Source organism: Homo sapiens, chromosome 7, assembly GCF_000001405.40.
Source record: "Homo sapiens chromosome 7, GRCh38.p14 Primary Assembly".
Lineage (NCBI taxonomy): Eukaryota > Metazoa > Chordata > Mammalia > Primates > Hominidae > Homo > Homo sapiens.
The window spans coordinates 151,249,873-151,272,408 of NC_000007.14; the positions used below are offsets into that span (position 1 = coordinate 151,249,873).

The window sequence follows — 22,536 nt, forward strand, 5'->3', positions numbered from 1 at the left end:
GGCAGGGAGTCCTGGGCCTACCCAGGTCCCCAAAGGCCACGCCCCTTTTTTCTCCTTCTTGGGGAGGAGCCGTGGGCTTTGGAACAAGGCCCTTGGGTCAAGTTTGGGGGTCTGCTGGGGCCTCACTGTGAGAATCCAGGTGAGGGCAGGACCATAGCCTAGTGCCTAGGGGAGTTTGTTGAAACACTTACTTGAAGTTGGGCCCTGAAGACTGAAGGGTACTGACCCTAAACCCTTCAGAATGCCTTTGCCCAGGGGGTCCTTTCTGCCTGCAGCCTGATTTCTGCTGGCCCTGGTTGTGCTCTTGGCTGTCACTGTTCATTTAGGTGCCCACTGTCAATCTGAAATGTCAGGGAGGACATCTGGTCCAGGTTGCTCCTCCACCACCCCTAGCTTGAAAGGGGACCTAGAGATCCCCTTGCTACCAAATCTCTCCCAGGGCTTTAGCCTAGACTACCCCCCACACACCCCCACACACAGAGCCTGGGCCCTGACACGGTGGGGATGGGTGGGTGGCCTGCCTCTGTCTGCCATAGGTCATGCTGCTGGGAACCTGGGGAAGTGACTTGCCCAGTCTGCCTGCTAACCTCCAGAATCCCCGCTCACTCCCATTTCTTAGCCCCTGCCCCCGATTCTTTTACCTGGAATGCCCTTTGCCTGCCCTCTGCCTTCCCTCTGCTTGTCCAAATCACACCTATTCTTTAAAGCCCAGCCCAGGCCCCACTTCCTCCAGGAAGCCTTCCTTCGTCCTACTTGTATGCAAAGATTTTTCTCTTCTCCAAATGCTCATTGCCATCTACCCAGCACCATGAATTGGCATTGGACTGGCCTGACGTGCACTGTGCTTCAAGGACATTAGCTTTGCTTTCCCAGAGAGGCTAAGGTCCCCATAAGGTCAGAGACTGATCTTTAACTCCCACTCTTCCTCCATGCCTGGGCACAGGAACTCAACAGTACCCCAGATACCTGATGCTTGCAAAGCTTAATGAGCCAATGCATGGAGCTGGTACTCTGCCATTTACCTGATGGTGTGAGTTACCATGGGCACCCCCACCCACCATGGGTGCGTCTAGCAGGGGCATGGGAAACCACAGGCCTTGGAGGTTCTGGGGGTTGGAGATAGACACCCCTAGGCTTTGTTAAAGCTCAGTGTTCTCAACTATTGGAGAGACCTTTTGGGAAAAGAAGACAGCAGAGGAGATGCTGGGCACTCCAGTTTGGGTAGCTGGGAAGTTTGAGGCAGGGCCTGGGAGATCCCGGGCTTGGTCTTGGTGGTGGAAGAGGTTGCGGGAGGTAGTTAGACGAGGGGCTATGGTGAAGCCCCTGTGGAGGAGCTGGTGAGCTTCACCCAAGTCCATACATAAGCGCTCTCCTGAGCCACCCCTCTGGGAGACATCCTTAAGTGTACACAGACAATAGATACACCTTGCACACACACCCTCCCAACACACACACAGCAGGCACACCAATACAAGCACCAAAAGGTCGAGGAAGCCACATGGCTCTGCACACACAGGCACACCTTGAGCACCTCCACATCCCGTGGTGGGCCCCATTCACAAGGCAGGCCCAGACACATTTGCGTACTGCTTTTAGGTGGGCGACAGGAGGAGCCTTCAGACCAGAAAGCTGGGGCGGCGCCAGTGTGGGGGCCCGGGCCAGGGCTCCCTCCTCACAAAGGCCAGGATCCCCAGTGGCTTAACCCCAGAAGGGCGCTCGGTGTGCCACGCCGCCGATGGCTCCTGCGGGTGGGAAGGAGGCCCGGGAAGAGCGTGGATTCCTCCCAGCGCAATAGGGCGCCCGCCGCACTTGGGGCAGGCCGTGCGCCTGTCGGGGGCGAGGGCGGCCGCCCGGCGCCCGGCGCCGCAGTCCCCCCTGCCGTCCCCCCATCGCTCCTTCCCTCGCTGAAGCACCACCAGCACCAAATGGCAAAGCGCCGCTCCCCGCGCAGGGAGAGATGCGCCGCGGCCTGCGGGACGGGCTCGGCCGCCTCGCCCCCACCGCGCCCGAGCGAGCGGGCGGCGGCCGGGGAGCTGGGGGGGCTCGGGCCGGCCCGGCCCGCGCCGCCCCTCCCTCCGCCCGCGCCGGTCCCCGGCCTGGGCATGCGCGCCGCGGCCTCCCTCCCGGTGAAGGTCAGCCCGGGGCCCAGCTGCAGGACTCCGCGGCGGCCGGGGAGGCGGCGGAGGGAGGAGGGATGCGGGGAAGAGACTTAACTCCTTCCCTGCGGGAAGATGGCCACCTAGGCCGGGCCCCAGCCGCAGTCCCGCCCTCCTGCCCTCCGTGAAGGTCCCACCACGGGGACTCCGCTCGGGGGGCGCGGCAGGAGGAGCAGGAGAGCGGGGAACATGGAAGAAGGGGCTGGAAGGAGAGAAGAGAAGCTGGCGAGGGGATAGGGAGGAAGGGAAGGGAGGAACAAAGGAAGCGAGACTGGAGGGAGAACGGATTGCTTGGGAGAGAGCTCTTTCCTCTATTCCCTTTTCCCTACACCCCCAGCAATAAAGCTCTCCTTAGGAGAATACGATCACCCTCACTGGGGCGGCCTGAGTGAGTGTGTGTGTGTGTGTGTGTGAGAGAGAGAGAGAGCGAGAGAACGCGAGAGGAGAGGGAGAGAGAGAAAGAAAGAGAGAGGGAGAAAGTGAGACCACTTGGCGCTGTGAGGACCACAAAGCCTTGGTTTCGGTGTTCTGGCCATCTCTAAACCAGGCCCCACTTTCCGCCATCCAGCCTACCTGCCCGGGCTAAGCACCAGCCTCGGGGGACCTCTGGCTAGTCCTTGGGGTCACGCCCAGCTCCAGAGAGGGAGGAGGGGAGACTACCTCAACCCCCGCCTCTGGTGACGGTCAGCAGAGGGGACGCTCCGAAGCCAGGCCAGGGGCATCAGGCACCTTCCTCCTCCTCCTCCTGGCTGCCCCCATGCTGCTTCCAGGCCAGGGCAGCTGTGCGCTTCCCTGTTTGTGTTGGGATGTTTCTGTACCCCCGACACTCTCTGCTGCTATCAAGGGGGCTGTCTCTCTGTGTGACTTTGTCTTTCTGTGTCACTTTTGCAAACATACACGAAAGAGACAAATGCAATATATAGAAGCAAAAAACAAAGAAAAACTAGGACACCAAAATAATGGTGCGACCTTGGGCAAGTCGCTGTACCTCCCTGTCCCTCAGTGTCCTCAGAAGTGAAAGGAGAGGCTTAAGTCAGAGCATTCCTAGAGCCCTTCCAGCTCTGAAATCCAAGAATTTCCTAAGACAGAGGCAGGAACCAAGGCAGACTGGGAGGAAGGAGGGGGACAGAGGGAGGGAGCAGAGCGACGGAGCTGTGCCGGGAAGCAGACCCGCACCGAGTGAGTGGGGGCTGCTCACCATGAGTGAGGCCTGGTCCCAGCTCAGCACCCCCTCCTCTATGGGGTCCTCAGGGACGCGGCCCTCCCACTCACTCCCTCCGTCCTCCCCTCAGAGTAGCTCTCTCTGGGTGGCTCTGCCCCTGTCACGCACACCTGGCTGAGCCCTCACCCCTACACCTTCAGCATCCAGACAGCAGGGTGGGCCTTACCTTGGGGTCCCCAGGGTCCTGTGTGGCAGGCAGGTGCATGCGAAGGTTAGTGGAATGAATGAGGCCTCCTTCCTCTCTTTGCCTGCGTGGGATTCCTCAGTCTAATGGGATGCTCCTTGACACCCCTCCCACCACACACAACACAATAAACTGCTGGTGGCAGGAGAGCGGGGCTGGGCGCTGGGATCTGAGCATCCCGCTGGCCACAGGGAAGGCACATTTTGGATTCACAGCAGGTTTTCTCTTACTCCCCATTAATGAGGTGGTCGCTTGTAGCAGGTCACACACCCCATAAAAACGTGCCACACAGGCCTGGTCCCCATTTCTGCACGGACAGGGCTGGGCTGTGGGATGGTGTTTACATGGGATCCTGAGGGGTGCTATAACTTCTCTCCCACCTTCCAGGGTGTGGCTCTGCTGGCGGGCAATAGGGCCACGTCCAGGGACCCTGAATTGGGCAGTGCCCTGACCTGCTGGCTGTATGGCCCTGGAGGGAGGGATGGGTCACTCAGAACCATCCTCACTCTCCTCTCCTCTCCCTCCGGATCAACACCTGGCACATCTGGCCAGATTCAGTGGCTTAGATGTGGCTGAAACCCAGGGCAAACACAAGGGGATCGCATGGCCTCGGGACTCATAGGGTGGTTGAGACTCCAAACAGTAGCCAGTCTTTCCCTCTCCTCCTCCCAGGTGTGTGGGAGCCATCTCTGGCTCCACTGGCCTCCTGGTTAACAGGCAGCCAGGGCTGGGAAGCCCACCCATCCCCATAATATCCCCTGGCTCTGCTAAGGCCCCACTCCTGCCCTGCCCCAGCCGTGTCCCAAATGCCTGAGGTGCCAGGGGAGTCACCCAGTGCATGTCTGAGACATCCTACCTACCTTCCCATCTCTCTACAGATGCTGGCTGCATCCAGATGTTGGCTGCCAGGGATCTGGGGGGCAGCCTTGTGGCTTCTGGTCGACTTGGGATCTGCTCATGTCGGGCCATGTGGCCCGGGGAATGCCGTTTCCTCCCTGGAGCTCTGTCCTCATCTGTGACATGAGGGTGCTGCTGCCTTCCCTCCAACCTCTGCCTCTGGAAATGCTGGCAAGGCACAGAGTGCTGCCCGCTTCACCAGGGCTTTGGGCCAGCGCCCTGCCTCTTCCACCCTGCCTGGTGTGGGGAGGCCTTTGGCCACCCTGCTAGCTGTCTCCACGTGTGTCCTGTGTTCCCCAGGCCCCAGCCCTCCTCTTTCTTAGTGAGGGGAGCCCCATTCTGGTACCTCCAATTCTCCTCTCTGTCTTTTGCAGCTAATAGCTCCCCATGACAGTGTCAGGGCAATCCTAGTGGCCCAGCGTCCTGCCCCTCACCTCGGGAAGCTTCTGAGGACTTGTGAGGCAGGAACGGGCCTCAGCTACTGCTCTGAACAGGTGTTTAGGGGGATTCCTGCCAATCACTGCATTCTGGGGTCTGGGTGTCACCGGAGTGAAGAGAAGTGAATAGTTAACAAAAAGTCCATCTGCATTTCTAAACAAATTTTTGGGAATATTAAATCAAATGGCAGCGGGCAGTGGGATGTGTAAATAAAACCCCCGTGGAAGTGCTGCGCGGACTCGTCGCCCGGCTGTCCTTGCAGGTCTGACACTGCACCTTCCACTCTGCACCACGGGGCCAGGGGAGCCCTCGACCTGCCCTCGGCCTTGAGGGCACCAGGTTCAATCTCATGCTGCCCTTTATCCCCAATTGCATCAGTCACCACAGAAAGCCCCAGACCCCCTCAACTCCTGCACTTTGAGCCCCACAAGGCCCTAGACCCTCCTACAGTTGCCATCTCTCCCCAGCCCCTGAAACCCTCCTACTGTGTTGTCTGTCCTAAGGAACATTTCCAACATGCTCCACCTCTTCTGGAAGCATCCTCTTTGCCTTCCAGAAGCAGATGCCAGGCTCCCTTCCAGCAGTGGCTCGACCACTGGCCTAAGGGTGGGTATGGCCCCCCATTGCCCCTCACTGCTGTTTCCAGAGCCCTGGCTCTGCATCTTACCCCCAGCTAGGGAGGCTTCCTTTGTGCGGATTCTGGCTCCTGGCTCATGTCACTCTCCGGAGCACCACTCCTGTCCAGCCTGCTGCATGCTCTTCCAGACATCTCTGGCCTCTCCATTCCTTGGCAGCTCCTCTTCCAGCGATCCTCCCTGTTCCCTCAGCCATGCACTCCCAAGGTCATCTCTTAGATCACTGCAGCAACCGCAGCCCCCCACTTTCAGTCCCATGCACCCTACTCGCTGACCACCGTCTCCTCTTTTTCCTCTTTCCAGTTCACCCTGTCCAGCTCCCTGACCTCCAAATCCTGCGACTCCTCTGGAACCTCTGCTTCATTTCACCACTCTGCACCCCTCCCCACAGCTACCCCTTGCTCTTACACATTGAATCTCCTGGTTGTTTTGACGGTGACACATAACACAATTGACCATTTTAACCTCCCTTGCATGTACTTTTTTTTTTTTTTGAGACAGAGTCTTGCTCTGTCACTCAGGCTGGAGTGCAGTGGCGCGATCTCGGCTCACTGCAACCTCCGCCTCCCAGGTTCAAGCAATTCTCCTGCCTCAGCCTCCCAAGTAGCTGGGACTACAGGTGCCTGCCACCATACCCAGCTAATTTTTTGTATTTTAGTAGAGACGGGGTTTCACCGTGTTGCCCAGGCTGGTCTCAAACTTCCTGACCTCAGACAATCTGCCTGCCTCGGCCTCCTGAAGTGCTGGGATTACAGGCATGAGCCACTGCGCCTGGCTTTTTTTTTTTTTATTTTTGAAACAGAGTGTCGCCCTGTTGCCCAGGTGGCGCGATCTCAGCTCACTGCAACCTCTGCCTCCTGGGCTCAAGCAATTCTTGTGCCTCGGCCTCCTGAATAGCTGGGACCACAGGTGCACACCACCATGCCTAGCTACTTTTTGTATTTTTAGTAGAGACAGGGTTTCACCATGTTGGCCAGGCTGGTCTCGAACTCCTGACCTCAAGTGATCTACCCACCTTGGCCTCCTGAAGTGCTGGGATTACAGGCATAAGCCACTGCACCTGACCCCTTGTGTACACTCTTGACTCTCTTAAGAGGTAAATCCAGCTTCACCAGCTCCTCCCCTGCAACCACGCACCTGAATGTGGCCAGAGAAAGACACACAGCCACCCCACCCGGTCTCATTGTGGATTCGGCACGAGCTCAGCTGGCATCGTGCTGCCCGGCAGGCCACTCTTCTCACAGCACAGTCACAAATATGCCCGCTCCCACACCCCGACAGGAGTTTTTTGCAGCTTCTCCCTCCTCTGACTTCCAACCTCTCCTCCATCCTCCTCACTCCCAGCTTGTGCCCGTTTTCCCCTTCACTGAGAAAAAAGAAGCTTCCGAAGAACTTCCAGAGCCTCCCACCACACCCTCTGCCTGCCAGCAGCTGATCCCGTTCCTCCAGATGAGCTATCTGTGTTCCCGACTACAGCCAGCCGTGCCTCCGTGTGCCAGCTCCGTCCCTCCTCCACACCAAGGACACTGCTCCAGCAATTCTCTCCCACACCATCATTTCATCAACATTCCCCTCTTCCCTGGAGTTCCCCCAGCAGCATGCACAAGTACTGTTACATCCCCATTGGAATAAGCGCTCTTCTTTCATTTTTTATTACTTTTTAAAAAATAGAGGCAAAATCTCACTATGTTGCTTGGGCTGGTCTCAAACTCCCGGGCTCAAGTGATCCTCCCGCCTCAGCCTCCCAAACTGCTGGCATTTTAGGCGTGAGCCCCTGCACCCGGCCTCCTGAAACAATCTCTCTTAACCCTACTTATCCTACAGGTTGCTGCCCAGTAGCAACAAAACTTCTGAAAAGAGTTGTCTCATTTGTGCTCCTCCATTCTCCCTGAATCCCAATCCTGTCAGATGCAGCTCCCGCTGCTCCACTGAAATGCTCCTGGCAGGGCCACCGGTAGCCTCCACATTGGCAAATGCTGCCGTCAGTTCTTAATCTACTGCAAACTCCGCCTCCTGGGTTCAAGCGATTCTCCTGCCTCAGCCTCCTGAGTAGCTGGGACTACAGGCACCCGCCACCACACCCAGCTAATTTTTGTATTTTTAGTAGAGATGGGGTTTCACCATATTGGCCAGGCTGGTCTCGAACTCCTGACCTTGTGATCCGCCTGCCTTGGCCTCCCAAAGTGCTGGGATTACAGGTGTGAGCCACTGCACCCGGCAAAGTCATAACACTCTGTCCTCTTTCAATTATTTCCTCCCGTGGAGGGAGGACACTTTCCCCTCTTGGCTGACCTCTTGCCTCCCGGGTTGCTCCTTCTGAGTCCCCGGGGACCATCCAGTTCTCCTTCCCTCTCCATGCAGGAGCGCCAGGACTCAGGCCTGGGTCCTCCTCACCTCTCCACGCTCACTTCCTCGGAGATCTCATCATTTTTGCGGTCTCATCACATCCAGCACCACCCGTATGTCGGCAGCTCCCAGTTTCCTCCAGCCCGGTCCTCTCTCCCAGTCCTTGGACGCATCTATCCAATCACCTATTTGGCATTTCCACCTGGGTCTTCAGTGGACAGCTCAAACATGGTCGGTCCAAAATGAGCTCCTGCTCTTTTGCCTCAAACCCCATCCTCCGCCCAGTCTTCTCCCTCCTTCCAGCTGCCCAGGCCCACACCTTGGAACACCCTGGACCCCTGCCTTTCCCTCACACCCTACATCCACTCTGAAGGCACATCCTATTGGCTCTGGACCCAGCAGCCCACTGCTTCTCACCTCTCCCCGGATGCCGCCCGAGATCCAAACCACAGCTACTGGGTAGCCTGCTTCCAGCCTCACCCCAACAGTCTGTTCTCAACATGGCAACAGGTTCTTTAAAAAGGGAGTCAGGGCCGGGCGCAGTGGCTCACACTTGGAATCCCAGCACTTTGAGGGGCCAGAGGCAGGTGGATCATTTGAGGTCAGGAGTTCGAGAGCAGCCTGGCCAACATGGTGAAACCCCGTCTCTACTAAAAATACAAAAATTAGCCGGGTGTGGTGGCATGCAACTGTAATCCCAGCTACTTGGGAGGCTGAGGCAGGAGAATCGCTTGAATCCAGGAGGCAGAGGTTGCAGTGAGCCAAGATTTCGCCACTGCACTCCAGCCTGGGCAACAGAGTGAGACTCTGCCTAAAAAAAAAAAAAAAAAGAAAAAGAAAAAGAAAAAGGGAGTCAGATTATGGCATTGCTCTGCTCTAAACCCTCCAGGCCTTCCATCTTATTCCGAGCAAGGGCCAAGGTCCTGAAGGTCCTGCAGGATCTGGTCTCATCCTTACTCCCTGTCCCCTCTGCTCTCACCTCTTGCTATCTCCCCCGCCACCTTCTCTCTGCCCTGGCTTCTGGGCTCCCTGTGGTGCTTTGGAAACTCCAGGTCCGTGCCAGCCCAGGATGCTCTTCCTCTGGCAATCTACATGGCGGACTCCTCACCTCCCAAAAGCCTTTGTTCACATGTCTCCTTCTCAATGAGGCACAGTCTGTCTCCCTGATTAAAAACTGCAAGCCCTCTCCCTCCACACGCCCATTTCTTTTATTCCCCTCCACTTTCCCTACAGGACCCTACCCTTCCACCCTTCTATATCATCTACTCCCTTACATTGATGCCTAACTTTTCTTTTTCTCCATTAGAACGTAAGCTCCAGGCCGGGTGCAGTGGCTCACACTTGTAATCCCAACACTTTGGGAAGCTAAGGTGGGTAGATCACCTGAGGTCAGGAGTTCGAGACCAGCCTGGCCAACATGGTGAAACCCCGTCTCTACTAAAAATACAAAAATTAGCTGGGCGTGGTGGCGGGCACCTGTAGTCCCAGCTACTCGGGAGGCTGAGGCAGGAGAATTGCTTGAACCTGGGAGGCAGAGGTTGCGGTGAGCTGAGATCACACCACTGCACTCCAGCCTAGGTGACAGAGAGAGACTCTGTCTCAAAAAAAAAAAAAAAGAATGTAAGCTCCAAAAAGGTAGGGGCTGTGTGTGTGTGTGTGTATGTGTGTGTGTGTGTGTTTCTAAAGGAGGCAGGGCTTTTTATCTGTTTTCTTCACTGCTAAATCCCAAGTACCTGGCACATGGCAGAACCTCCAACATGTGATGGGTGGAGGTGAAGAGAGCCCACTCCAAGCCCGTTCAGGATCTTCAGCACGGATTTCCAAATGCCAGCTGAGGTTACAACCTGAGAGTTTTTTTTTTTTTTTTTTTTTTTTTGAGACGGACTTTCACTCTTGTCACCCAGGCTGGAGTGCAATGGCATGATCTTGGCTCACTGCAACCTCTGCCTCCTGGATTCAAGCGATCCTCCTGCCTCAGCCTCCCAAGTAGCTGGGATTACAGGCATGCACCACCATGCCCAGCTAATTTTTGTGTTTTTAGTAGAGACGGGGTTTCACCATGTTGGCCAGGCTGGTTTTGAACTCCTGACCTCACATGATCCACCCACCTTGGCCTCCCAAAGTGCTGGGATTACAGGCGTGAGCCACCACGCCTGGCCAAGACTTGTTATCATAGGAGTAATAACATCGGCTTAGATTTGTATAGGACTTTACCATTGACCAAGCACTTCCACACACAGTAACCTGTCTGATCCCAACAGATAAGCCTATCAGGTTCCTGGCAGGGTCCCCATTATAAAGATAATGAAAATGAGGCTCTAAGAAGTTGTGTGACTTGCCAAAATTCACTGTGCTATCACAGGGTGGGGCTAGGATTGCAAATCAGGTTTCCTGTCCTCAAGGTCCCTGGGTTTTCTCCTTTACCCCAAGCTGCCTCCCCAGTGTCCCCGTGCTAAAGCTTGCCTGCTGGGGGTAGTGACAGACTAACCAACACACGCACCCCACCTTCCCCAAACACCTGCCTTTTAAAGAAGGAAATCAAGATCCCTGGAAGCCTGCAGAGCTAAGCTGAATTACCCTTAATTATCGTTTTAAACACACCCCTCAAAATCTCAAGCTGATTGTTCGAAACATTGGGAATACAAATTCTAGAAAATGTGCTACTACCAAGGTGTCTGAAATAAATTTCAAATTTGAGAAGGTTCCCTTTGTTACTGTGGAAATATTACTTTTTAGCCAAAAACAAGAAAAAAAAATGAATGCTAGTTAAACTTGGAACAAGCCCCTTGCTCCTCTGGCTTCTGTGGTCCTCACAACCAAGTGTAACTCCTGTGCGACGTACACACCTGAATCCCATGGTGACACGCCACCCCGCCCCCTACCTGGACCTCAGTCGGCTATCCTTTGGGAACATGTCGTTACCCCGACATAGCCAAGCGGTGCCCTCGGACAGCCCCCTACCACCTCACCTTGCCTTCCTGGTGCCACTTGGTGCTAGGTTTGGAGAACTTGGAGGATCCAACTGGCCCTTAAGAGGGGTAGGAGAAGCGATGAGAACAGCAACAGGCTCTGTCTAGGCTGAGTGGACCACCAATTTCTTGGAGAACCAGGCAAACGTAAGTGGGATTGAGAAAGAGATGGGGCTTGTGAGGCTTGTTCATGACCAAGGACTTCACAGTAAGCTCAGCATCTTGCCGTCCCCACACAGCACACTAGTAACTCAGCAGACTTTACTCTGGGGCTCAAATGGCTACAGTGGCACCAAGAAGCCTCATGAAGACTCACCAAGGGGTGGGCGGTGGGGAGGCGGCAGATGTTGGGGCGCGCTCTCGGCAAATCCTTGTAACTAAGGCTGGCTGTGCTCTCTACCCCTGCCTGAACCCACTGCCCTGGGCAGGGTCTCTGCAGTCCACGGTGTGATGGCTCCTAGCCTGGATTCTAGAACAGGGTTTCTCCAGTTGGCACTGCTGACATCTCAGGCTGGACGATTCTTTACTGTGGGAGCTGCCTTGCACACTGTATGATGTCAGGAGCATCCTTGGCCTCTATCCTCTACCCAGTGTGGCAAACAAAGTATCTCTAGACATTGACCCTTGTCCCTGGAGGGTGAAATTGCCCCAGGGTTGAGAACCACAGCCCTTGAGTCAATTGGTTCTGGGTTCAAACCCCACCCAGCCACTGAGTGACCATAACCCTGATCATGTTACCTGACCTGTCTGAGCCTCAATTTCCCCATCTGCAAAACTGGGGGTCCCTCACGTGATGCATGGGTGGATGTGAAGATTAAAATGTGGTTGAGCATGTGCAGAATTCAGCACAGTGCCTGGCACAGGGTCAACACTTAACGAGCAGCAGCTGTTAACATCAGCTTCCCAGTGGTCCTGCCTGCCTGTCTCACAGCCTGGATTCCCTGTGGCCTTGGCTGCTGCTCATCTGCCTTATCTCCCGGACTTGGATGATCCTGCTGCCAAACAACCCCCAGCTAGGGTGGGGCGCAGTGGAACCAGGGAGCTCTCAGAGCCCTTCAGCGGCAGGCTCATCACAAATGGCATGACGGGTACAAGCGAGGGCCGAGCTGCTGCTCTTAGAAGCCAGCCAGGTGATCATTCACAGTGGCTAATTACGGTGGCTCTGGGAGCCCTGCGGGAAGTGTGGGGTCTACTCAAGCCACTGGACGCTTCCTTGGGCAGAGAGCAGCCACAAGTGTTGTTAGCATGCAGGGGTCATGCTGTGGGAAGCCTGTGGCCCCGCAACTGAGCTGTGGGGGCTGCAGCTTGGGCTGCAGGACAGGAGGGAGACATTCAGAAGCCACCACATGTAGCACATCCACTGCACTTCAACCTTTTTTTTTTTTTGAGACAGGGTTTTGCTCTGTCGTCTAGACTGTAGTGCAGTGGTGTGATCACAGCTCACTGGACCTCCTGGGCTCAAGCTATCTTCCCACCTCACCCTCCTGAGTAGCTGGGACTACAGGCACATGCCACCATGCCCGGCCAATTTTTAAATTTTTTTGTAGAGACAAGGTCTTGCTACATTGCTCAGGCTGATCACCAACTCCTGGGCTCAAGGAATCCTCTCACCTTGGCCACTCAGAGTGTTGGGATTACAGGCGTGAGCCACCATGCCCAGCTTTGGGACTTAAATTTAAAAAGACTTTGTAAGGCCAGTTATTGGCCTAGAAAAGCTGAGGTTTGGGAACTGCTGGTAACGGCATCCAAAGAAAAGTAGGGCCTCCTCCCACCCCATGTGCTCCTCTGCCTTCTGTCCTCTACACGTTTAGTGAGCACCTCTTTTGGGGCAGCTCCTGGGAAGTACTGCCCATTTACACCCATGACATGGCCTTTGCCCTTGAGACCTGGTGGTCATCGAGAAAGACAAGATGGATAGAGGGCTTTGTGCCAGGTGTGTCCTTAGGGCCCCGCGGGAGCAGGGAGGAGGGGCCCCTAACAGGGTGGGGCAGGGCTACCCCAACAGGTGTCTCAGAGTAGCGACACCTAAGCAAGACCCTGAGCACAGCCAGGGAAAGCCCCAACTGGGTGGGATGCCCAAGGCTGGCATGGGGTGCTGTGGGTCTCAGGGGCTGTGCCTCCTTGGGCTCCTCTGTGAAGGTCAGGGGAGAGGCACCCAAGACTCATGCTTTATCTTGGCGAGAGTCATGAATAGTGGAAAGGGCAGGACAGGTGCCCTGCAGAGCCCAGCAGGCTAAAACTAGTAACAGGGAAGCCAGCACACACAACTCTTACTGGGAGCAGCCACTGTTTGTTCTGAGCTCAATTAATGTTCACAGTCACCCTACCTTGCGAGTAAAATCCTTAACCCACCTTATAAGTGGGGAAACTGAGGCCTAAGGAAGCAAAGTGACTGGTGTAAGGTTGCAGAGCTAGTAGGGGTAGAGCTGGGATTTTCATCCAGGTAGCCTGTGTCTAGACTAGATCCTAGCCCAGAGACTGTGGGCAGACTTGATGGGAAGAAGTGGAATGTGCCAGACACTCCTGCTAAATGTTTTTTTTTTAATTAAAAAAATGCCAAGGGGTGTTCTGAGGGATCTAAATCAAGGCCGAAGCTGTAACCACAACTTCAAACCTGGAAGGCAGCTGGGGAGGTTGGGGAGAGAGAGGCAGGATGTCCATGTGTCCACCAAGGCCCTACCACTTTCACCAAGGGGGCCTCCTCACCAGCCTCAAAGCCCTGTCTTTGCCCTCCCCAGGTTCCACCTTGGAGAATGTCCCTCTTATCCCTCCAAACCTCAATCCTGCCCATCTACATCGCCATATCTTTCAAGCCATCCAATTCCCTCAGCCCAGCTCCAGGGTCTGGCCATTTTCCATGCTGTTCCATGGTTGTTATTATGAACATCTTCTTCTCCCTTGGCCCTCCTATTTAATCCATAGGCAAATTTTATTGGTTTCACCATTTTCTGATCTCTCAGGCCCACTGGTCTCTGCATTTTTTTCTGTCATCACCCTGGACCAGGCCGGCACCATCTTTCTTCTGCACTGATCGTCCCATTTCTCCATTCTGTCTCTCTCTACGGCATGGCCAGAGTGATCTTTTAAAAAATGCAATGAGGACCATAGTACATCCTTGCTTAAGATCTGACAATGGTTTCACAGCTCTGACAGAATCCAAATTCCTTGCCAGGGCTCACAGGGGTGACTCCACCTTGTGGGTGCCTTCAGCTCCACCAGTCCCTATCTGGTCCTCAAACTCATTGGGTCCCTGCCCACCTCAGGACCTCTGCACCTGCCATTCTCTTGACCTGCAATGATCAGCCACTGGGTCTGAAGGTCAGGTTCCTGAAGACAGGATTTTTTTTTTTTTTTTTTGAGACATAGTCTCACTCTGTCACCCAGGCTGGAGTGCAGTGGCGTGACCTTGGCTCACTGCAACCTCTGCCTCCCGGGTTCAAGCGATTCTCCTGCCTCAGCCTCCCAAGTAGCTGGGACTACAGGTGCCTGCCACCACACCTGGCTAATTTTTATATTTTTAGTAGAGACAGGGTTTTGCCATGTTGGCCAGGCTGGTCTCAAACTCCTGACATCAAGTGATCTGCCTGCCTCAGCCTCCCAAGGTGCTGGGATTACAGGTGTGAGCCACTGCACCCGGTCAAAGTCAGGATTTTGCCCCAAAACAGAGAGGAGCTAATGTCAGCTCCTGCCTTGGAAAGTGCCCCAGGATGGCAGTGGCTTTTGGCACAGGGTGTGGGAAGAGGAGAGCATGATTGTAGGCCATCCCGAAGCCCAGGGTGAGTGCTGTGAAGATGGTCTCACACAAGAAGCCACCATACCAGGCCAGGTCAGCACCTGGGGTAGGAACTGTGGGAGTTCCTCTGGAGGACGGAGGCAATCACCCCCTGAAGACCTAACTCCTCAGCAGGCCACCTCCTTCTCCCTGATGCAGAGGTGAGGAGGTAAATGGTGGGATCCATGGAGTTCTGGGGAGCCCAGTGGAGCTGGGCCCAAGCCTCTGCTGGAGGCAGTGTTGGCAGCCAGCATGGGGCAGAAGCAGTGGTGGTGGCGGTGGAGGGGGAGCAGACCGTGGGGCCAGGCCCGGGACTAGCTGGGAAGCTGGCATACTAACTGCCCAGGGTAACTGCCAGAAGGGGAGGCTGGAGGCTGCCCTGTGGCTCTTCATGGAGCCAGGTGGGGAATTAGTGTTCTAGCAGCCCAGGGGCCCAAGGACTGGACAGTGGCAGGGAGTCGACCTGTCCCTCAGGGCGTTGGCTCTTCCTGTGATGGGGATAGCCCAGGGTTTTGAATGCCTGTCAGCTCCCTGAGGCTCTGACCATCTCGCTCCTCTGTTAGACACATCTCCAAATTCTGAAGGCACCTGTCAGAGTCCCCCTGCTATGGGTTGAACTGTGTCCCCCAAAATTCATATGTTGGAGTCCTAACCCCTAATATATCAGAATGTGACCTTATTTGGAGAGAGGGTCCTCAAACAGGTAATCAATTTAAAATGAGGTCATTAGGGTGGGCCCTCATCCAATAGGACTGGTGTCCTTACAAGAAAGGGAAATTTGGGCACAGAGACTTGCACAGAGAGATGATGATGTAAAGAGACAGAGGGAGAGGATGCTCAACTTCTAGCCAAGGAGAGAGGCCTGAGACAGATCCCTCCCTCACAGCCTTCAGAAGGAACCAACCCCGCTGACACCTTGATTTCAGACTTCCAGCCTCCGACACTGGGACCAGGAATCTCTGTTGTTTAAGCTGCCAGGTCTGCGGTCCTTTGTTGGGGTGGCCCTAGTGACCCAACACCCCCACAGCTCTGCTCTTCAGGACTCCCAGGGCGGTCATCACGAGACCTGCCTGCTAGTCCACCTACCACCTGGGCCTCCCCTTGGAACATCCTCTGGTTTGCCCGATGAAAGCAAGGCCTCCAAGCAGGGTGCAAAGCACAGGGCAGAACCCAGGTCAGAAGGCCTGAGTTTGAGCCTTTATTCCATCATCCATTGACAGGAGGATAAAAGTGCCAAGTCACCGTTAACCTCTCTGATCTCGGTCTCCTCATCAGTGGGTATTTATCATCTTACCTCTCTCACTGGGTTATTGTGAATAGCAAAATAGTAATGATTTGCCATATGTGAAAATTCTCTTTAAGTCACAGAGTACTGAGTAAAGTCATCATGGCCATTAATTTATCACTCTTTGGTAATCACCCGTTGCACTGTGGAGTTGAATTGACCTTATTGTCAATTTAACCTCAATTTTTTCTTTTCTTTTCTTTCTTTCTTTGATACGGAGTCTCACTCTGTTGCCCAGGCTGGAGTGCAGTGGCGTGATCTCGGCTCACGGCAATCTCCACCTCCTGGTTTCAAGCGATTCTCATGCCTCCGCCTCCTGAGTAGCTGGGATTACAGGCACGTGCCACCAGGCCCAGCTAATTTTTATATTTTTAGTAGAGACAGTGTTTCACCATGTTGGCCAGGCTGGTCTCAAATTCCTGACCTCAAATGATCCACCCACCTCAGCCTCCCAAAGTGCTGGGATTGCAGGCGTGAGCCACCGCACCCGGCCATTTTTTTTTTTCTACTCTACGCAAAACATGTCTCCCTATCCCCTACTTGTAAAGTTGTCTTTTTGTCTCAAGAATGGACACAGAACATTTACTCCTGTTAATATTCATCTTCTAAGAATTAGCCCATAATTTCTAGAAGGTGAATGTTGACAGCTTTTGAATATTAATTCTGTTATCCAAAATATTCACCATCTTTTCTGGCTGTGTGTTATTTACAAATCCAGTGAGTGTGACCATCGATCTGCATCTATATCTTTGCTGAATGTATTGAGAAAGGGACAGGAAGCAAGACAAGGCTCTCTCTCTCCAGACTAATGTACACCCTTTGGGGCTTCGTCTTTCTTCAATTCTTAGCAAATTTGCCCAATTATCGTAACATCCAGCCGGCAATGTGCTAGTGTGTCATGTCAGCGGCTTAACATCAGCCAATATGGGAGGTTTTTTTTGTTTGTTTGTTTTTTGAGATAGGGTCTGGCTATCGCCTAGGCTGGAGTACAGTGGTGTGATCATGGCTTATTACAGCATGGACCTCCTGGGCTCAAGCCATCTTCCTGCCTCAGCCTCCTGAGTAGCTGAGACTATAGGTGCATGCCACCATGTCTGGCTAACTGTTAAAATTTTTTGTAGAAATGGGGTGTTGCTTTGTTGCCCAGGCTGGTCTTGAACTTTTGGCGTGAAGCGAGCCTCCCGCAGTGGCCTCCCAAAGCGCTGGGATTACAGGCCCAGCCACTGCACCCAGCTGGTGGTATTTATACCACAGGAATTGGCGAACGATACAAACCGGAGTTCTGCTCCCACTCCCCGTCCTGCCAAGAGCCAGTTGTTAAACATTTACCCGCACACCACTGCATCCAGCCCACGTTTATGTATCATACCCTAAAGATATAGGGAAACACTTTGTCAAACACCTCCAAATTAACACATAGAGCTTCATGGAGCTTAGCCTACAAAACAGTTCAACATGCATTATCCAATTTGGTTCTCTCCACACTCCAGGAAACTGAAGGGATGACTATTACTGTATCCATTTTAAAGACAGGAACACAAGGCGTAGAGAGTTCTTTAAAGACTGATTCAGAGCTGGAGAGCGAGTTAATGTTGAAAGTGAGGCTCAAACTCCTGTTTTCTGATCATAAGGTCCGTGTTCTTTCTGAGTCACTATCTGACTGCTCCCCCATTCGTTATCGAATGTACTGCGAAGTCCTCAGGGGTTGGTACTCCGGGTTTAAGACACAGACAAGTTGAGAGGGATTCTACAACAGCCCCTGCCCTTCCCATTAGCAGCCATCATGAGGATTTATGAGCACTGCTTCTCAAACTGGGATTCAGATCTGTTCTAGGGGGAGGGTCCTCAAGTTTTTGAAAAGACTCTGCATTTTGTTTATAATTTCATTGTTGACAAGAAGCCAACTGAAGTGACAGCAGGCCAGGTGCAGTGGCCCAAGCCTGTAATTCCAGCACTCTGGGAAGCTGAGGTGGGCGGATTGCTTGAGCTCAAGAGTTTGAGACCAGCCTGGGCAAGATAGCAAGACTCCTCTCTACGAAAATTTAAATATATTAGCCGGGTATGGTGGTGCACACCTGTAGTTCCAGCTACTTGGGGCACTGAGGTGGGAGAACTGCCTGAGCCCAGGATGTTGAGGCTGCAGTGAGCCATGATCGCACCACTGTACTCCAGCCTAGGCGACAGAGCTGAGATCCTGTCTCATAAATAAATAAACAAATAAAGTGACAGCAATTCTTAATGCAGTGTTTCTCAAACTGGGGGCCCTGAGTTCTCAGGGAGAAATGCTGGTTTGTTTTCTGGGCTGGGGGATAGAAGGGAGGACAGGGGACAAGTGGCAGGCAAGGAAAGCTCAAGGTGAGTGTTACGAACTGGGCAGGGCAGATAGGTTTTGCTCAGCCCTCACTGTGTCCTAAACACTTTAATTAGGCACCAACCTTAAAGACTGAGAGATTTCACATCAAAGCCAGATTTCCAGAATCTCTTAAAAAATGAGAAATTTGGCAAGACCAGACCACCAGTCCATTTAGAGACAATCGGGTGGAGCTGAGGAGGGGCTGCCCCTTTTCAGAGGGGCGAGAGCCCTCCGATTTGCCACATCTCCTCCCCATTCCCTATTTTAGGGGTTACAAACTCAAATGACCCTAGGGACACAGCAGTGAAAGTCAATGAGTGGAACAGGCTGTGTGTGAGATGATAAATGGCCTTTGACCTTGAGCCTCAGTGCTGGGGGCAAAAGAGGAGGGGCTGGGTTGAGACCCTGAATAAAGGGGTGGCTGTCTTGTCTCTGTGAGGGCCCCTGAGGTTTGGGCACAGCAAATTTCTGAGGGCTAAATATGGTGGAGAGACCCCAGTTGGGACTCTTGCCCTGACCACTGGGAAAGTTCCTTCATGCCCTGTGCCTCAGTTTCCTTATCTGGAGAGGATGATGATTATAACAGCACTTACCTTATAGTGTTGTGGTTAGGATAAATTAAACCACACAAAATTCTCTCTCTTTTTTTTTTAATGTAGAGATGAGGTCTCGCTTTGTTGCCCAGGCTGGTCTTGAACTCCTGGCTTCAGGCGATCTTCCTGCCTTGGCCTCCCAAAGTGCCGAGATTACAGGCATGAACCACTGCGACTGGCCTAAAATTCTTGAAATAGTTCTCAAAGCCCACAATGATCCCTCAGTCTTTACTGGCTGCTATTACTCTGCCCCCAGTCACTTCACTCTTTCACTTCCTGCAGGTCACTGTGTTTGTGGCAGCTGTTCTTGAATCTGAGGTGGGGGCTGTGATGGCAGGTGGCAGGGGGAGACATCCCTGCCCACTGAATGGATCTAAAGTGTCTCAAAGACAGACTTTTCTTTTGAAGGAAGAGGCCTGGGTAAGATGCAAGTGAGGTGATGGTGAAGGGGGAGTTAGAAGGGAAACTGAGGCAGGAAAAGGCAAAAGCACAGTGCTGCTTCCTGCTGGGCAGAGTGGAGTGGGTGCTGTAGACCTGAAGCTGGAGCTCAGCTTCTCTTGCATCTACTTAGGCCCCCACGGGGGACACCTTCCGACCCACCAGCACCTCCTTCAAGCCTACACACCCTCGAGTCCCCTGCTGTGGATTCAGCTGCCGGCCCACCCTGAGCCATCTCCAGGGACCACAGGGCTCTCTCCTGCGCCCTGCTGGCTCACTTTTTCTTTTTTCCAATTAAAAACTTTATGAAAGGCAAAGAAGACAGGCCTTTCACACCTGCAGACTGCATCAGGCTGGATGGGAGCTGTGGGCTGGAAAGATGGGCTAAAGCTAAGATAGCTCCATGTTGGGGCTGACAGATATGGAACAGGAAGAATGGACTTCTGCGTGTCTGGGTGGTGGCCAGTGGCGTATGCGGGCAGCATGAATGGCAGGCTGGGACCTGCAACCAAGGGAGGCATCGGTGGCATTAGATGGTGCTCTGGGGTCCACAGATGACACCTGGAGCAGGGACAGCGCTCAGCATCCCATGTGAACACTTGCAGTGGCGAGGGGCGCTCGGTGAACGCAGGCATTGTGCAGAAGGTCCGCCATCACCATTGCTTCTTTATAGAAGGGCATGATGTCCCATTCTACAGATGAGACATGTCACTCAGAAAACTGAGTACCCCTTCCCCATCTGCCTGGCTGGAAAGGGAGAGCTCACCTTCTAGCACAGGCACAGGTGGCTCCAAGTGTGGGCCATGGCCTTGGGGGATCTTCAGCGCTCCCCAGGGGGCACGAAGGCTGGGAATATTTGAAAGAGCCAGAGCTGGATGTTCCGAGCGGAGACAGAGCCTGTGCGAAAGCTGCCTCCAAATGTTGAAAGGTGGTCAGATGGCTTGGAGGGAGAAAGGGGTTTCTCCCTGCAACTCCAAAAGGCAAACCCAAGGTCAGAGGGAGTGACATTCTCCCTCACCATAGGAATAACTGAAGAGGGAATGAGCATGGAGCACTCCTCCAACCACGGAGTTACAGGAGGGAGACGCGGGGCACAGGGCAGCTCAGGCGACAGCAGGACAAGGTTGGCAGGCAAGAAAGGCCCACTCTTGCATCGTGGTGGTGTAGAGAGGGTGAGGCTGACAGCACCAAGAGGGATCTGGGGCTCATTTTAGAATCAGCCGTAGAGCCACCCCCTCTCTGTCCACTGCCTCACACATTTGCTCATTCATTCAAGAAATACTTCTCTGTACTGTGTGGAACAAGACAGATGCAGCCATGCCTTTAAGGAGCCCTGCAACTCAGTATTAGCCTCTTTGGTAGGTGCTGCAAGACAGAAGAGAGTGGGTGGGCCTTCACGCCCAAGCCGGGTGGGAGAAAGCCTCCCTGGAAGAGGTGGAACTGACGTGGAGGCTTCAAGGATGAGTGCAGTTAGCCAGGTGAAGGGAGCTGGGAAGGGTGTCGGAGGTGCAGGGAACAGCATGTGTGAGGGCCCTGAGTGAGGGCACGAGAATGAAGCCACTAGGAAGTGGAAGGCGGAACAAATCAGATTTGTGTTTAGGAAGCCCATTCTCGTTACTGTGCTGGGCCGGGGTCTGATGCAGGGACAAGGCTGAGTATGCGGCACTCAGATGGGGGCAGAAGATCACAGTGTGTGGACCAGGGCAGTGACGTGGGAAATCAGAAGCAGATGGAATTGACACTTATCTAGGAAATAAAATCAAATAAAAGGATGTGGCAGTTGTTCCAATGGAGAGGTAAGAAAGGGGGTGGACTTGGTCACTTCAGGTCTGGACCTGAGCCTCAATATCACTGTTTAGCAATGTGGCCCATCCACCCCACTGCAGAGGGGCCCTACTCCCTTGTCTTCATGTGTTCACAAGGAAACATGTACTGTATTCCCAGGAGAGGAGATACTGGAATGACCCTGGCCCTCTCCCCACCCTTCCTCCCTGTGGGAGGAGGCTTTGTCTGATGAGGTGGTGAGGGCCTGCACCAGCCGCACAATCCCTTTCCCAGGCGGGTGGGGTGAAGGTGCTGAAGGCAAGGCTGCTTACCCTGTGGCCAGCATTCCTCTTCTAGACGAGTCTGTTTTAGGACACAGATCATCTCCTTCTGTTCCCATGCCCAGGTAAGCAAACCCAGGTTAGGGAGTAGGACCTGCCTTCTACACTTGGGCCTCAGGTTCAAGCCTCTCTTCAGCTTGAATTTCCTTGCACTTAAGTTAACTGATGCCTGTGCCTGTTTTTCCATGGGTTCAGGACCTGTGGGGAAAGACCAGGACTGGTCCCTCCTCATACCCAAACTCACCTGTGGGGCCTGTGTGCTTAAGGAGCTCTTTATTTCCTATAAGGATATTACCCCTACCTGGAGAATGTGACTCTGTACTTAATTTCCAATTTTAAATAAACCTTCCTGCTGCCTGATATTTATCAGAAACATTGTTGTAAATATCAATATAGAGAGTATTTCCTGGCCAGGCTCGATGGCTCATGCCTCCCAACACTTTGGGAGGCTGAAGTGGGAGGATTGCTTGAGCCCAGGAATTTGAGACCAGCCTAGGAAATATAGTGAGACCTCATCTCTACTAAAATAAAAACAAAACAAACAAAAGCTAGGGGGCATTGTGGCTTACGCTTGTAGTCCCAGTTACTCAGGAGGCTAAAGCAGGATCGCCTGAGCCCAGGAGTTGGAGGCTGCAGTGAGCCATGATCACACCACTGCACTCCAGCCTGAGCAACAGCGTGAGACTCTGTCTCTTACAAAAGAGAAAGAGGGTATTTCCTGAAGGTAGCAATGCATTCCTCTAGTTGCTCCAAATTTTAAGTTTGGGTTAAGCAATATTACCAGTAGGTTTATGGCTGGGGAGTATTGTGTTGGTCCTTGCCTTAGCCCTAGGAAGCAGTTGTGACATTGTTGAGAACATTGCATAACTTTGTCACATGGTATCCCCTTCATTTCCTCATACAGGAGAGACCTCCCAGTGGCTCGGGACCAGAAATCACGTGATTTGAGCAAGTTGTTTGATTTTTATCTCATGCACAGTGTAAATCATGTAACTGCTTGCTTCTCTGCTGGCATCGGGGTCTCTGGGCCTCGTGGTTTGCATTTGGTGCAGTAGCCACATCCTAGGCAACACCATGTTTTCTCTACTCTATCTCTGTCTCAGTTTCCTCACTATATGTATCTTTGCAAACTACCTGAAACCC

The 22,536-nt window shown here is 53.6% G+C and overlaps 1 protein-coding gene across 3 annotated transcripts in view, besides 3 other annotated features; it reads right to left on the reverse strand.

The window, feature by feature from the left end:
- The window catches only part of SMARCD3 (SWI/SNF related BAF chromatin remodeling complex subunit D3), a 38,370-nt gene that overhangs the window by 11,093 nt on the left and 4,741 nt on the right, over positions 1–22,536 (reverse strand). The window lies entirely within an intron of this gene.
- Positions 2,343–3,252: an enhancer, noted in NCBI's record as "H3K4me1 hESC enhancer chr7:150949301-150950210 (GRCh37/hg19 assembly coordinates)". NCBI's record gives its function as "activates a minimal SCP1, AML or CMV promoter by ChIP-STARR-seq in naive H9 embryonic stem cells {active_cell/tissue: H9 hESC(naive)}" and the evidence as "EXISTENCE:reporter gene assay evidence [ECO:0000049][PMID:30033119]".
- Positions 6,262–6,762: an enhancer, noted in NCBI's record as "H3K4me1 hESC enhancer chr7:150953220-150953720 (GRCh37/hg19 assembly coordinates)". NCBI's record gives its function as "activates a minimal SCP1, AML or CMV promoter by ChIP-STARR-seq in primed H9 embryonic stem cells {active_cell/tissue: H9 hESC(primed)}" and the evidence as "EXISTENCE:reporter gene assay evidence [ECO:0000049][PMID:30033119]".
- Positions 6,763–7,263: an enhancer, noted in NCBI's record as "H3K4me1 hESC enhancer chr7:150953721-150954221 (GRCh37/hg19 assembly coordinates)". NCBI's record gives its function as "activates a minimal SCP1, AML or CMV promoter by ChIP-STARR-seq in naive and primed H9 embryonic stem cells {active_cell/tissue: H9 hESC(naive and primed)}" and the evidence as "EXISTENCE:reporter gene assay evidence [ECO:0000049][PMID:30033119]".